At 44.0% G+C, this 12,358-nt stretch overlaps 1 protein-coding gene across 32 annotated transcripts in view, besides 2 other annotated features; it reads left to right on the top strand.

The window, feature by feature from the left end:
- The window catches only part of RBM47 (RNA binding motif protein 47), a 207,573-nt gene that overhangs the window by 99,588 nt on the left and 95,627 nt on the right, over nucleotides 1-12,358 (top strand). The window lies entirely within an intron of this gene.
- Nucleotides 4,087-4,887: an enhancer, noted in NCBI's record as "H3K27ac-H3K4me1 hESC enhancer chr4:40528395-40529195 (GRCh37/hg19 assembly coordinates)". NCBI's record gives its function as "activates a minimal SCP1, AML or CMV promoter by ChIP-STARR-seq in naive H9 embryonic stem cells {active_cell/tissue: H9 hESC(naive)}" and the evidence as "EXISTENCE:reporter gene assay evidence [ECO:0000049][PMID:30033119]".
- Nucleotides 4,888-5,687: an enhancer, noted in NCBI's record as "NANOG-H3K27ac-H3K4me1 hESC enhancer chr4:40527595-40528394 (GRCh37/hg19 assembly coordinates)". NCBI's record gives its function as "activates a minimal SCP1, AML or CMV promoter by ChIP-STARR-seq in naive H9 embryonic stem cells {active_cell/tissue: H9 hESC(naive)}" and the evidence as "EXISTENCE:reporter gene assay evidence [ECO:0000049][PMID:30033119]".

The following is a 12,358-nucleotide window of genomic DNA, read 5'->3' as shown; positions in this document are numbered from 1 at the left end:
GATCACTCCCGATCTCATCTGAAGCTCACCTCAACTCCTTCCTTCTCCAGGTCACCTTTGTCACCTTTTTTAATCTGCATCGGGAATGGCAAACAGGTTTCGTTTTATGTAAACCAAGTCCATGCCATTGACAATGGTTGCATAGAGAATTCTATTTTATTTATTTATTCCAGAGTCTTACTCTGTCACCCAGGCTGGAGCGCACTGCCGCGATCATGGCTCACTGTAGCTTCTACCTCCAGGGCTCAAACAGTCCTCCTGCCTCAATTTCTGAGTAGCTGGGACTACACGCATGCACCCCCATGCCCAGCTAATTTTGTTTGCTTTTTGTAGAGACAGGTCTCACTATGTTGCCCAAGCTGGTCCCCAACTCCTGGGCTCCAAGGATCCTCCCACTTCAGCCTCCCAAGGTGCTAGGGTGGCAGGTGTGAGCCACCGTGCCTCGCCTTGCATGGAGAATTCTGAAAGCCTGCCCATGTTCAAAGGAAAAAGAGTCCTGTGATCATAGTGGTTTTTGCCATAGGCAAAAGAAGGAAAAGTGACAGAATGAATGTGACATATTTTTCATCCAGATTATAATAATTATTTTAGACCTGTGATGTCCAGTACGGAAGTCCCTAGCCACACATGGCTATTTAAATTCAGATTAAAAAGAAGAAAAATAGGGCTGGACGCGGTGCTTCACGCCTGTAATCCCAGCACTTTGGGAGGCCGAGACGGGTGGATCACAGGTCAGGAGTTCAAGACCAGCCTGGCCAATATAGTGAAACCCTATCTCTACTAAAAATATAAAAATTAGCTGGGTGCGATGGCGTGTGCCTGTAGTCCCAGCTACTTAGGAGGTGAGACAGGAGAATTGCTTGAAACCAGGAGGTGGAGGTTGCAGTGAGCTAAGATTGTACCACTGCACTACAGCCTGGGCAACAGAACGAGACTCCATCTCGAAAAAAAGAAGAAGAAAAATAATAATAATTTAATTAAAATTAAGTACAGAAGATGCTCCACCTAGAATTTTTAAACTTCATGATCGTCCAGGCATGGTGCCTCACACCTGTAATCCCAGCACTTTGAGAGGCCAAGGTGGGCGGATCACCTGAGGTCGGGAGTTCCAGACTAGCCTGGCCAACATGGTGAAACCCCGTCTCTACTAAAAATGCAAAAATTAACCAGGTGTGGTGGCACACGCCTGTAATCCCAGCTCATCGGGAGGCTGAGCCAGGAGAATCGCTTGAACCCGGGAAGCGGAGGTTGCAGTGAGCCGAGATCACACCACTGTAATCCAGCCTGGGTGATAGAGTGAGACTCCATCTCAAAAAAAAAAAAAAAAAAAAAAGGGGGTCTAATATCCTTAAAATCCATCGTGAAGTTTATTTACTTTTATTTTAATATTTATTTATTTATTTATTTATTTATTTATTTATTTATTTATTATTTTTTAGATGGAGTCTCGCTTTGTTGCCCAGGCTGGAGTGCAGTGGCACAATCTCGGCTCACTGCAACCTCCGCCTTCCGGGTTCAGGCAATTCTCCTGTTTCAGCCTCCCAAGTAGCTGGGATTACAGGTGTGTGCCACCACACCTGGCTAATTTTTGTATTTTTAGTAGAGAGAGGGTTTTGCCATGTTGGCCAGACTTGTCTCGAGCTCTTCGGGTGATCTGCCCACCTCAGCCTCCCAAAATGCTGGGATTACAGGTGTGAGCCACCATGCCCCGCCTTAGATGCTTTTTTTTTTTTTTTTTTTTTTTTTTTTGTGACAGAGTCTCCTTCTGTCACCCAGGCTGGAGTGCAGTGGCACGATCTTGGCTCACTGCAGCTTCTGCCTCCCAGGTTCAAGTAATTCTCCTGCCTCAGCCTCCTGAGTAGCTGGGATTACAGGCATGTGCTACCATGCCCAGCTAATTTTTATTTTTAGTAGAGACAGGGTTTCACCATGTTGGCCATGGTTGGCCCATCTGGTCTCAAACTCCTGACCTCAAGTGATCTGCCCACCTTGGCCTCCCCAAAGTGTTGGGATTACAGGCGTGAGCCACCTCGCCCAGCCACATTTTTGACTTATGATATTTTTTACTTATGATGGGGTTAATGGAAAGTAGCCCATTGTAAGTCAAGGAACATCTGTAAAATTAAAAATTTTTAATATGGTAGCCAGCGGCACATTTCAAGTGCTTAATAGACATATGTGGCTACTGGCTACTATCCTGATAGCAGCAAAGATACAGAAACTTTCCACCATTACAGAGTTATACGAGATGGCCCTGTTTTATTATTTCTTTCTTTATTATTTATTTATTTATTTATTTATTTATTTATTTATTTTTTTTTTGAGACGGAGTCTCGCTCTGTCGCCCAGGCTGGAGTGCAGTGGCGGGATCTCGGCTCACTGCAAGCTCCGCCTCCCGGGTTCACGCCATTCTCCTGCCTTAGCCTCCTAAGTAGCTATGGCCACAGGCGCATGCCACCATGCCCAGCTAATTTTTGTTTTTGTTTTTTTCTTTTTGAAACAGGGTCTTACTTACTCTGTCACCCAGGCTGGAGTGCAGTGGCACGATCTCGGCTCACTGCAACCTCCACCTCCCAGGTTCAAGCAATTCTCCTGCCTTTGCCTCCCAAGTAGCTGGGATTACAGGTGCATGCCACCATGCCTGGCTAGGGTTTGTATTTTTAGTAGAGATGGGTTTTCACCATATTGGCCAGGCTGGTCTTGAACTCCTGACCTCAGGTCTCCCAAGTGCTAGGATTACGGTGGCTCCCATTTTAGATATGTAGTTACATGACAATGCAAGGAAGAATATATTTGCTTAGTGTGTGTGCCTTGTTTTCTCAGTGAGAGACCAAAAGGGTTTTTTGTTGTTTTTTTTTTAAAAAAGCCTCACTCTGTCGCCAGGCTGCAGTACAGTGGCACGATCTCAGCTCACTGCAACCTCGGCCTCCTGGTTTCAAGGGATTCTCCTGCCTCAGCCTCCCAAGTAGCTGGGACTACAGGCGTGCCACCACGCCCAACTAATTTTTGTATTTTTAATAGAGATGGTGTTTCACCATTTTGGCCAGGATGGTCCTGATCTCTTGACCTTGTGATCTGCCCGCCTTGGCCTCCCAAAGTGCTGGGATTACAGGCATGAGCCACCACACCTGGCCCAAAACATTTCTATGGGCAGTAATCTTCGCTTACATTTATTTTGTAACCTTAGTGCACCTAACCAGTGCTAGATATATAAGAAATACTTCGTAAGTATTTGTTGAATTGATTTTTTAGTACTTAATGGGCAGTGCACCATTAAAGTAAAGTGTATGAATTTTGAAATACGAAAACAAGTTTCTGGCCCCTTCTCTTCTGCAAACTAACATGTGACTTAGAATATCTCATTTAACTGAAGCAGGTCAGTTTCCTCAAGGGTAAACAGTTGTAGACTGGACTATATTGGAAGATTCTTCCAGGTTTGGAATTTTGTGGTACATATGGAGTATTCACTTTTAAATAAAAACGTACACCCCCCCACCCCCCAAACACACACACACACACACAATGAAAACTAGCAGGTTAAAAAATATTCTAGCTTATTTTAAACTTCATTTGTCCTGGGAGGCTGAGGCGGGCGTTACCAGTTGAGGCCAGGAGTTCGAGACCAGCCTGGCCAACATGGTGAAACCCCGCCTTTACTAAAAATACAAAAGTTAGTCCGGGCGCAGTGTCTCATGCCTGTAACCCCAGCATTTTGGGAGTCCAAGGCGGGTGGATGACTTGAGGTCAGGAGTTCAAGACCAGCCTGGCCAACATGGTGAAACCCTGTCTCTACTAAAAAATACAAAAAAAAAAAAAAAAAAAAAAAAATTGCCAGGTGTGATCTCAGCTACTTGGCAGGCTGAGGCAGGAGGATCGCTTGAATCTGGGAGGCAGAGGTTGCAGTGAGCCGAGATCACACCACTGCACTCCAGCCTGAGCAACAGAGCTAGATTCCGTCTTAAAAAAAAAAAAAAATTAGCCAGTTGTGGTGGCATACGCCTGTAGTCCCAGCTACTTGGGAGGCTGAGGTGGGAGGATTGCTTGAACCCAGGAGGTGGAGGTTGCAGTGAGCCAAGATCACACCACGACACTGCAGGGTGGCTGCCTGGGCAAGAGAGAGTGAGACTGTCTCAAAAAAATAAAATAAAACAAACACAAAACCAACAACTTCATTTATCTAATTTTTCAAAGATATAAGCCTAGCATTTCCAGATTAAATTCTCTGCCACAGCTATAGCTGACTTGGGCAAGTCAGATGGAGAGGTAGTTGCCTTCGTCAAACCTGGTGAGGTTTTGTACTATCTTTAGTCTCACTACATGCAGCAGTCACCAGTCAATGCTGCCAGCCCTTTTCCATTGCTCTAAGTCAGGCATCAGTAAACTGTGGTCTGTTGTCTGTTTATGTGTGGCCCTCTAGCTAATGGTTTTTACATTTTTAAAAGGTTGCAAAAAAAAAAAAAAAAAAAAAAAAAAAAGAACCAAACTGGGCAGCACAGTGAGAGACCCTGTCTCTACATAAAATAAAAAAATTAGCCAAGTGTAGTGAAGCACACCTGCAGTCTACTCAGGAGGCCGAAGCAGGAGGATCCCTGGAGCCAGGGAGGTTGAGGCTGCAGTGAGCTGTTATGGCACCACTGTACTCCAGCCTGGGTGACAGAGGGAGATCCTGTCTCAAAAACAAAAAACAAAAACCCCAAAAACAAAAAACAAAAAGAAACAAATAAAAGAATAATATGTAACAGAAAACACATGGCTTGCAAAGCCTATAGTATTTACCTAGCCCATGACAGAAATGTTTGCCATCCTCTGTACTCAGTGACTTTCTTGTACAGACCCAACCATTTTTTAAGGCCAATCGTTTTCTGAAGTGTTCTAAGGTCCTGTGACTCAAACACCATGGAATTAAACTCTATCTTCTCTATGATTTAGAAAACTCTGAAGACAGGGAAGGGCAGCCAGGCTGGCGGGGAGTAGATGGGGACCCTCGGCTTGATCAGCTTTGTATTGAAATACTACAAAGTAGGCAGGATCCCGTGTTCTGAAAGCAGAAAGCGAGTCCTTGGATCCAGAGTCTGTGTGTTCTGGTCTTGGCTTTGGGAATTTGATGAGTCACGGTTTCTGGCTGTGTCCTCCTTGACTTACAGCTTTCACAAGAATGAATTCTGAAGGTCCCATGAAGGGGGAGAGCTGTGAGAATCGTCATCTAAGGTCCATGCTTGCATTTCAGTTTGTCCTTCTTTTTCTTTTTCTTCTTGTTGCCTCTCCTTTGAGCACTCCGGGGATCTAGATTGGATGGGCAGCTAAAGGGACTGAAATGAAGAGGCAAGAGCCAAACTTCAGGCCCTAGAGCAGGGCTGGGCCAGTATCTGAATTCTGATAGCAGCACTGCCAGGCCAGCCCCAGGGCAAATGCAAAGTTGATTGGTTTTTCTTAAGAACTCTTACTTTTCTTTCTGATGCTCACTGCCAGGTGTCCAAGGGCCCTGGAGCTTCCCAAATCTCCTTTCTACTTAAGCCTATTCCCTAGGTTTTTACCAAGCCTTGGCTTTTAAAATGCCCCTCTTCTTAGTTACCAAAAAACTCCAGTTTTTGCATTTTTTCCCCTATTTATCCTTTTTTTCCCCTTCCTCTCTTTGTCCCATTCTTTCCTCTAGGCTATTTTCGAAGTTCTTTCGCCCCTGGCTTCTGTATACACAACTGCCTTTAGAATAATCCAGTGTGCCTCACCTTAATAAAAATCCAGATTTACAAAACAAAAATTGTTTGAAAGGTGAATGTTTTTGTTAAAGAAATCTGGCCAATATGAAAGACCAGCATCTCTTTTTTTATGTTTATCACTTTGTTTGTGACAGTCTCACTCTGTGATCTGCAACCCTGCCTCCTGGGTTCAAGCGATTCTCGTGCCTCAGCTTCCCAAGTAGCTGGGACTACAGGTGTGCTAATAGTCGTATTTTGTACTAATAAAATAGCTGGCTAATTTTCGTATTTTTAGTAGAGACAGGGTTTCGCCATGTTGGCCAGGCTGGTTTCAAACTCCTGGCCTCAAGCAATCTGCGCACCTTGGCCTCCCAAAGTGCTGGGATTACAGACCTGAGCCATCATGCCTGGCCATGTTTATCACTTTCTACATTTCATTATAGCAAGCGGTAACTAGGGGAGGTCCCCTAGTTGGGTGCAAGCAGATTCATTTTTGTATTTGCAAATCATGTAACACAGTGAAATTCATAGCCTTACCCCCATACTGGATCATAAAAATATTTTACTTTCCCTATTTTGTTTACTATCAAGCCTGAGCTCATTAAATATATCCAGTGGCCTGGATCAGGATCATGTGAAAAACAGGACCTTGGCTTGCTTACAACGTTTGCATTTGTTTTGGTTGGTACAGATTCATTTGGATAAATTCCCAGCTTATTCTCAAAGAAGATTCTAGCGCAGTACCGGGCTCCCAGTGGCTTTTCATTCATAGTAATGAGCATTAGCCGAGCGTGGTGACGTGCGCCTGTAGTCCTAGCTACTCAGGAGGCTGAAGCAGGAGGATTGCTTGAGCCCAGGAGGTCAAGGCTGCAGTGAGCTGAGCGGTGTCTGTGCACCATTGCTGCATTCTAGAATTCCCAGCCCAGAACTATGCTGTTGTCATGCCTAGGAAAGCATCCATGAGAAAATCCTTTTCTGAGTCCGAATGCCAATTCCAGTTCTGGTTAGAATTCCTTGACACACACGGCACTTCCAGCCTTGGTTTTCACGGTTGCTGTGATAGCAGAACACACAGCTGTGAAACAGAGAGAAGATGAGCAACAGAAATGGATGTGCTAAAATGTGAGATGAAAATATGCAGAAAAGCCAACCATCTTTAGAAATCTCATTTATTCAGGGTTCAGTGTAAGCCTAATAGGTACAAGCTGAGATTTTGGAGTCTGGTGGGTTCCAGTCTTGCTTTCCACCAATAATTAGCTTCACTTGACTTCTTTGGGTTTCCGTTTCCTCATTTGTATGAGAAAATAGGGATCATGAGAGTACTTGCCACATGAGATTTGGCAGGAGGTTGTATATGTCGAGAATTTAGCACTGTGTCTAGTACACAGCAGGTGCTTAATAAATGTTTGTATTAGTGTTTTAGCACATGTGGGAGGGACATAGCCGAGTGCAGTGTTTCTCAAATTTTGGGGACTCTGGACATCTTCACAGACAGATAAGATACAGGGCACTCAATTGGCTGTAACTTCAGATAAACAGTAAATAATTTATTAGTACAAGTATTTCCCAAACATTGTATGGAACATATATGAAAATATTCATTTCTTATCTGAAATTCAAGTTTAATTGGGCACCCTGAAGTTTTATTTGCGAAATCAGACAACCCTGTTTTCCTTTCCTTTTCTTTTCCTCTTTTTTTTTTTTTGAGACAGGGCTCACTCTGTCACCCAAGCTGGAGTGCAGTGGCGCGATTACTGCTCACTGCCGCTTCAACCTCCCAGGCTCAGGTAATCCTCCCACCTCAGCTTCCAAAGTAGCTGGGACCACAGGTGCATGCCACTATGCCTGACTAATTTTTGGTATTTTTTGTAGAGACAAGGTTTCACCACGTCACCCTGGCTGATTTTTTTTTTTTCCTAGATGGAGTTTTGCTCTTGGCGCCCAGGCTGGAGTGCAATGGCGTGATCTCAGCTCACTGCAACCTCTGCCTCCTGGGTTCAAGCAATTCTCCTGCCTCAGTCTCCCGAGTAGCTAGGATTACAGGTGCCTGCCACCATGCCCAGCTAATTTTTGTATTTTTGGTAGAGACAGGGTTTCACCATGTTGGCCGGGTTGGTCTCCAACTACTAACCTCAGGCTATCTGCCCGTCTTGGCCTCCCAAAGTGCTGGGATTATAGGCGTGAGCCACCACGCCCGGCCTACCATGGCTGATCTTGAACTCCTGAGCCCAAGCCAGGAGGGCTGGGATTACAGGCATGAGCCACTGTGCCTAGCCCTGTTTTTATATTCTTAAAAATTATTAGCCAGGTGTGGTGGCTCACTCCTATAATCCCAGCACTTTGGGAGGCTGAGGCGGGTGGGTCACTTGAGGTCAGGAGTTCAAGACCAGCCTGGCCAACATGGTGAAACACTGTCTCTACTAAAAATATCAAAAATTAGCCAGGCATAGTGGCGCATGCCTATAATCCCAGCTACTTGGGAGGCTGAGGCATAAGAATCGCTTGAACCCCGGAGGCAGAGGTTGCAGTGAGCCGAGATCATACCACTGCACCCCAGCCTGGGTGAGTGAGACTCTGTGTAAAAAAAAAAAAAAAAAAAAAGATTTTTGAGAAATGCAAAGTGCTTTTAAAGTGCTTTTATTTGGGTTCTATATATTGATATTTACTGCATTAGAAATTAAAATTAAGAAAAATATTAATTTCCTTTAACAAGAATAATAGTAAGCTCATTTTTTATGAAAATGTTTTCATGAAAAATAATTATATTTCCAAAAAAAGTAGATAAAGAGAAGATCATGTCGTTTATATTTTTTCAAATCTCTTTGATGATTGTCTTGATAGAAGTCAGCTGTATGCTCATATTTGCTTCTGCTTCAATCTATTGAGGTATGTCATTTTCACTGAAATTCTATAGGGAAAGAAAATTCAACCTCACAAAGATATGCAATTGGAAAAGGGAGGAATATTATAGTAGAATTTTTGGATTATTGTGAACATTCTTCTTTGATACTAAACCCAAACTCTACAAGAGGTAGTTTTTGTTTTGTTTTGTTTTGTTTTGTTTGAGATGGAGTCTTGCTCTGTTGCCCAGGCTGGAATGCAGTGGCACAATCTCAGTTCACTGCACCCTCTGCCTCCCAGGTTCAAGAGATTCTCCTGCCTCAGCCTCCCGAGTATCTGGGATTACAGGCGCCTGCCACCACGCCGGGCTAATTTTTGTATTTTTAGTAGAAACAGGGCTTCACCATGTTGGAAAGGCTGGTCTCGAACTCCTGACCTCAGGTGATCTGCCAGCCTTGGCCTCCCAAAGCTCTAGGATTACAGGCGTGAGCCACTGCACCCAGCCAAGAGGTAGTTTCTTAAAGGTTAGTTGCAGCAGAATCTGAAACCATAAAAAGGAAATTTTCATGCTCTGTTACATTAAAATTGGTTGGCCCATCTTGAACTTTGAATGGACTGCTTACCCATGCATGATTCTGTAACATCATGGTTGGTTATTTGGAAAATATTGGTTCACTGAATTGTGAAGATCTTCCAAATATTGAAACATTTCAGTATGTATTTTTAAAAATCCACATTTGTTAATGTCATAGCTGATCTCATGAGAAAAGCCTTTAATCACTGACAAGCAGTCAAGCTTGTGGTGATAAATGCAGGTTGCCCCCAAATTTTTTCTTCCTTTTTTTGTATTTTTTAAAATTATTTTTCTTCTCCTTGCACAGCAGAGCTAACTCATAGGCAGTACACCCAGAGTTAGCCAGGTTCCCCCATATTTAACTTTTGCTTGAAAGCTTGAATTTGATCATTGGAAATCAATACTGTCTGTTGTGTTCTTTGAAGTGCCAGGGTCACTTCATTCATTTTCTAGAAAAGGTCTGCCAAATATTCAAGTCTAAATAATCATAGTTTGTTTTATCAAGTAATGTAGCCTGTGACTCTCAAGTGATTTTTCCTTGAGACAGCAATCATAATTTGGTATACAGTAGAAGTGCTTTATCATACTTTCTGTTTCATCGCACAGAATATTTTTAAAACATCTACTTGAATTGAGACTTAATAAAATAAATAGGCTGGATGTGGTGGCTCATGCCTGTAATCCCAGCACTTTGGGAGTCTGAGGCAGGTGGATCACCTGAGGTCAGGAGTTCAAGACCAGCCTGGCCAACATGGTGAAACCCCATCTCTACTAAAAATACAAAAATTAGCTGGATGTTATGGCAGGTGCCTGTAATCCCAGCTACTTGGGAGGCTGAGGCAGGAGAATCACTTGAACCCAGGAAGTGGAGGTTTCAGTGAGCCTAGATTGTGCCACTGCACTCCAGCCTGGGCAACAAGCAGACTCTGTCTCAAACAACAGCAACAAAAAAATTAAAATTAAAAAATTTAAAACATTTTAAAAAGAAATAAAAAATAAAATAAAATTAATACTGTGTTACCAAATACATTCTTAAGGAAAATTGGCTTTAAAAAAAGGTAGAACAACTTCAAATGCCTGGTGGTAAAAAAATGCCACAATTACTAGTATACTTTGGTGGCACTGCCTCTCACACGGCTAGAAGTTTTAGCCACCATTGCCTTTTTATCACTAGTCCGTGTCAATGCCGTGTAAAAGGGAAATATGTTAGTATTTTTAAGAACCGTGGAGCCTCTCAGCATTCCAGGGACCTCACTTTGAGAACTGCTGGTCTAGCGGTTGATGTCCCCATGATAGGCAGCACCGGACAGTGTAGACTGATCTCCCCTCTCCTATTGCAGCCCCTCCTTCCTTGGGCAGTTTGGGAAAGCACCAAGAGCCCCTGGGCCCTTTCTTACACATCTGTTGAGGTTGGCTAGGTGATGAGCAGTTTCTGAGGTCACATTCATGGTACTCTTTGAAGTCCTCTAAAGGGGTTTGAGTATGATTCATGGGCATTCCTAAACCTTTGGAAGATTCCGGAAGATTTAGAAGCTCCAGATTAAATCTCTACCTCTCCTTTCTCCTCTACTATTTCCTAGTGTCCAAGGGAGCTCAAAACCCCTTTCAGAAGCTGAAACTATTCTGCAGGCCAAATATATACTAGCCTCAAAGATATTCAGGCTAGACATGGGCCCCTACAGCTGAAAGATGCTTTGGAATAGGCCTGGGGCGATAGAGCAGCACTCCCCAGAGACACATTATTCTGCCCTATTGCAGCTCTGCAGTTGAAAATTCTAGGGGTATACCTGCATGCTGGCATACCAAAACCAATAGAGAAAAAACTCCACTTAGAATCACATGGCTGGAGGTGGAAAATGCTATTATAAAACATTTCTATTGCACAGAAGGCACAGTCCTTTCTCAGGGACACATAATTTAGTCTCTGAGCAGCATGAGACTTTTATGTGCCAAGTGCCGTATAGAACACGGGGAATTCTAATACAACCTACAGGGTTTAAAGTCAAATGACAAATTTGTGATCACAGAAAAAAAAGAACATAAAAGGCTTACCCAAAGTGGGAGAAGCCATATTTTTTGGTTGGATTTTATGGTCAAAGGAGGGCTTCAATATGAAATAGAGTTCATCAGTAGATTTCAAAGTGAGCAGTAGAGATGATCTTAATTAGGGATAAGAGGGTAGGGTGGGCTGGGCACGGTGGCTTATGCCTGTAATCCCAGCACTTTGGGAGGCCAAGGCAGGTGGATCATGAAGTCAAGAGATCGAGACCATCCTGGCCAACATGGTGAAACCCCGTCTCTACTAAAAATACAAAAATTAGCTGGGCATGGTGGCGGGCGCCTGTTGTCCCATCTACTCGGGAGGCTTAGGCAGGAGAATTGCTTGAACCTGGGAGATGGAGGTTGCAGTGAGCCAAGATTGAGCCACTATACTCCAGCCTGGGCAACAATAGCGAGACTCCGTCTCAAAAAAAAAAAAAAAAAAAAAAAAAAAGGAGGGTAGGGTAGAGGGAAGTGGGAGAGGAGGGTGAGGAGACCAAGGTAAAGGATTGAAGGATGCTGGGTGTGGTGGCTCACACCTGTAATCTCAGCACTTTGGGAGGCCGAGGTGGGCAGATCACCTGAGGTTGGGAGTTCGAGACCAGCCTGACCAACATGCAGAAACCCCATCTCTACTAAAAATACAAAATTAGCCGGGTGTGGTGGTGCACACCTGTAATCCCAGCTACTCTGGAGGCTGAGGCAGGAGATTCGCTTGAACCCGGGAGGCAGAGATTGCAGTGAGCCAAGATCGTTCCATTGCACTCCAGCCTGGGCAACAAGAGTGAAACTCCATCTCAAAAAAAAAAAAAAAAAGATTGAAGGAGAAAAACAGTTGAACTGGTTCTGGTCAGAGGTTGGCAGAAAATACATGCAAGTGATTTTTATTTTTTATTTTTTTTAAGGACAAGATCTCACTCTGTTACCCAGGGCAGAGTACAGTGGTGTGATCTTGGCTCACTGTAGCCTCAACTACAGTGAGGAGTCCCGGCCCAAGCAATCCTCCCACCTCAGCCTCCCAAGTAGCTTGGACCACAGGCGCATGCCACCATGCCTGGATCATTTTTTATATTTTTTTTTTTATAGAAACAAGGGTCTCACTATGTTGCCTAGGCTGGTCTTAAACTCTGGGCTCAAGTGATCCTCCTGCCTGGGACTCCCAGAGTGCTGGGACTACCGGTGTGAGCCACCACTCCTGGGCTGGATC

The sequence above is a fragment of the Homo sapiens genome, chromosome 4 (assembly GCF_000001405.40).
Source record: "Homo sapiens chromosome 4, GRCh38.p14 Primary Assembly".
Lineage (NCBI taxonomy): Eukaryota > Metazoa > Chordata > Mammalia > Primates > Hominidae > Homo > Homo sapiens.
The sequence above is the reverse complement of the archived record's forward strand: the minus strand, read 5'-3'. Positions and strand labels throughout refer to the sequence as shown.